General features: G+C 49.0%; 1 annotated feature.

Annotated features, from left to right (window-relative positions):
- Positions 849 to 1,349: an enhancer, noted in NCBI's record as "H3K4me1 hESC enhancer chr6:3540364-3540864 (GRCh37/hg19 assembly coordinates)". NCBI's record gives its function as "activates a minimal SCP1, AML or CMV promoter by ChIP-STARR-seq in primed H9 embryonic stem cells {active_cell/tissue: H9 hESC(primed)}" and the evidence as "EXISTENCE:reporter gene assay evidence [ECO:0000049][PMID:30033119]".

Raw genomic sequence — 3,530 nt, 5'->3', positions numbered from 1 at the left:
TCTCTGATCTAACTCTCGTCAAACAAATAGTCACGCAGAATAAGCCTAATCAGTAAGATAATTTGTAAGCTGGGTTATTGTCTTGAAAGAGAATGCTCCAGAGGTTTTTATCCCCCTGAGGGCTCTCTTGTGTTGGAGAGAAGAGGCGTCTTTCCTTTAGTCCCTCTGTCAGCTAAACCAGGAGACTTGCAATTCAGCAAACGGTGGTTTGAGGTAGGAGAGAGGAGCGGAGGACAGGAAAGGAAGAGAGAAGGGCCTCTGGGTCAGAAGTCCAGGTCTTATTTTTCTCCTTTCTTGGCTTGAGCCCAGAGCGGTAGAAGCACATTCACTAAATGAAAGTGACACTTTTACAGCAGGCTTCTTCCTCTGCTGCCTCTCCAGGACTTTGCAAAGTGCTCCCTCCCGGCTGGGCGCAGTGGCTCATGCCTGTAATCCTAGCAGTTTGGGAGGCCAAGGTGGGTGGATAACCTGAGGTCAGGAGTTCAGGACCAGCCTGGTCAACATGATGAAACCCCGTCTCTATTAAAAAAAAATACAAAAATTAGCCAGGCGTGGTGGCAGGCGCCTGTAATCCCAGCTACTCACGAGGCTGAGGCAAGAGAATCGCTTGAACCAGGGAAGCGGAGGTTGCAGTGAGCCGAGATCGTGCCATTGCACTCCAGCCTGGGCGACAGAGCGGGACTCTGTCTCAAAAAAGAAAAAAGAAGTGCTCACTCCCCAGCCTCAGGAGTGGCCATGTCAACCCGGGGGGCACAGCCACACAGGCAAGGGCAGCCCTGGGTTGGCCTCAGCGTCATGCGGCATTGACACTGGGTGGACATGCACTGGCCGGCCACAGGCCTACTATGGCGGGATGTGGGGATTCCAGGTGAGGGGCATGGATGGTGGACAAGATAGAGAGAGGTTTGGGGGTCTGCAGACGGTGGTGCTGAGATGAGCTCTCCTCTGCCAGGGGAAGCCTCTCCTAGGCTCTGCACAAGCCAGGGGAGGACCAAGCTGTGAGTGACACTCCAGGTGCCTGCTGCAGATGCCAGGGGGAAGTGGCCAGCAGGCACATGGGGACACAGCCCAAGAGTGCCAGGCCTTCTGTCTTGCAAGAGGTCATTAACTGCCCCTGCTTTTCCACCCAGCCAGCAGAAATGGGGAGGGGAAGGCAATTCATAAGTCTGGGCATGTTTTGCCTTAAGAAAGTGAAAATTACCTGAAGAAATTGTTTACATTTTCAGATCAAAATTTGGGCCACATTAGACATTAACTTAAATAATTTTTTAATTAAAAATATAGCATCATTAGAAATGTTTCCCCTGCTAAGCAGTGGGTAGGGCTCAGTAGGACGACAAAATTAGATGTCGATAGAGCAAAGAATCTACATGTTTCTCTGCGCTTCTGAGTTGTAGTCTGAGTAAAAAGTCTAATAAGATTCCCAAAGCTTTACTCCTGGGAAGAGGGACTGGACACAGGGGAGTGAGGCCCAAGGCACACTGGGCAGGGATATTTTCCCTTCTCTTTTGTACACCTTATGCTTTTTCAAATCAGGGAATGGAGAGGTATAAAAAGCAGCCCCTGGCAAACATTTGGAAAGACAGTTTCTCTCTTTCATGAAATCCCAACTCCATACTCCCTGGAGTCCTTTGAGTTTTCCCTCTTTCTGGGCCCTTTAATTACCAACTCACATTCAGTTCCTAGTTCTTCTGTCAGTGGCTGTCCAATGGTCGCAAGAGACTTTTGTTTTTCTTTCTTTGCCTAAGACCTATCAAACATCCTGAATTGGCAGGTAATGGCTATGGAAAGCAATGAGACAGTATTACTGCACATTTCATCCCCCCAATAGTTCACTCCTGGCAAATTCACTCGGGGAGAAGCATTATTTAAAAGATATTTGGGTAGGGGATAGAAATAAATGAACAGGCCACTCCAGGCTTCCTGACTGTCTCCCCTCGCCCTTCCTGTCAGCAGGCCTTGTTGTTGGGCTTGACATCTGCAGATCTTCCTTTCAACTCGGACCCACTCCAGACCTTGAGATCCCCAGGGATCATGCAGAGTGAAAGTGAGCTTGCGTCACCCACCTCTCCAGTGGACTAGAGCTCCTCAGGACTAAGATATTCTGGCTTCCTCCAGGGGAGGAGGTAGGAGAAAAATGAATAAGAGGGAAATGGGAAGGAAGAGAAGGAAGCAAACTCCCAGAAGAAGTTTGCATCCAACGGCAAAAGAGGCAACAAAAAATTACCATCAATAGCTGAGCCAAAGTAGATCTAGTTCCTTCTGCATCCCAAGCATCACGCTAGGTAGGTACTCTCACAAAACACGGCTCATTTTTTTTAAGGTGGATTTTATTTTACTCATTTAAACAGCTTTATTGAGGTATAAACCCCACCCACAGAGAGAATATTTCTATCCTCGCTTTTCAAATAAAACCATGAGGAACAGAGAAGTTGAGCAACTTCCCCACCATTGCAAAGGTTTTAGATAACGGGGCAGAGATTTGGTGCAGAACTGTGAAGTCTCTGAACTCCCCTCACCCCACTCACAATAATGCTCCTGTTACAACAAAGAACGAAGAAAACGAGCGTTCCTGGGATGAATCCATATTGCTCCTGTGGAGTAAACCATGACTAGGAATGCAAGCGGGGCTGAGGCACATATCTGCCTCTCTCTGATCTAACCCTTGTCAAACAATGTGATTTCCTTTCCACACCAGAGTGGAGATCCTTTCTCTGCCCTATGGCTGCACACCTGCAGCCTTTGTCCATAATTTGTACACTTTACTTCCTGAAAATACCGGCCTGAAATAGCAAAGATAAGATGGTGCTCCATCTGGGCTCTGTGTCCATGGAAATGTCGGTTTCCTGGCTGACTTCACCCTGTCCCTGTAGCCCTTGTCTGTCATTCCTGTTGGGGGCCATGCCCTGCTTTGGAGTGGTGTGTGTCCCTGTTGGCATGGCTTCCTGAGAGCTGTCACTGAACCTGGGAATCAGAAGTAAACCCAAAGGGAAAGCATCTGCTCCTAAGAGCAGAGGGTCTGATATTCCTTCAGGTTATACCACAAGCAAATGTATGCACAGAGGGCGAGTGCAGGTGGAGTGGCCAGCCACAACCACTAGAGCACAGTGACAAGGCTGGCACACCCCCACGCACCCTCCCTGCTCATCGCAGACCCTTTGTGAATACGTCACTCCAGGAGAAAGGGAAACAAATGCCCTGCTAGGACTTCACCTTCTTCTTCCATGTGAATGTGGGTCATAAGCACACGAGCATGCCTCCCTGAACCCCAGTCTTCTCATCCCAGCCATGCTGCACCCTCAGAGCTGCCCCTGGGGCTGGGGGCCCTTAACACACTCTCAGGTAGGATCCTGGAGGTCATCCGAAACGTGGGATTTTTAATGCTTGTTCAAAAGCCCACAGACACCTCTCTAGGACCATGTCACCAGGTAGCCATTTCAGACGGGGTCTGGGGACAGCTCCACCTCTGAGTGTCTCACTGACTTTTTCATCCACTTTGAATGCTTTCTTTATGTGATGTCAATTTATTG

The sequence above is a fragment of the Homo sapiens genome, chromosome 6 (assembly GCF_000001405.40).
Source record: "Homo sapiens chromosome 6, GRCh38.p14 Primary Assembly".
Classification (NCBI taxonomy): domain Eukaryota; kingdom Metazoa; phylum Chordata; class Mammalia; order Primates; family Hominidae; genus Homo; species Homo sapiens.
The sequence above is the reverse complement of the archived record's forward strand: the minus strand, read 5'-3'. Positions and strand labels throughout refer to the sequence as shown.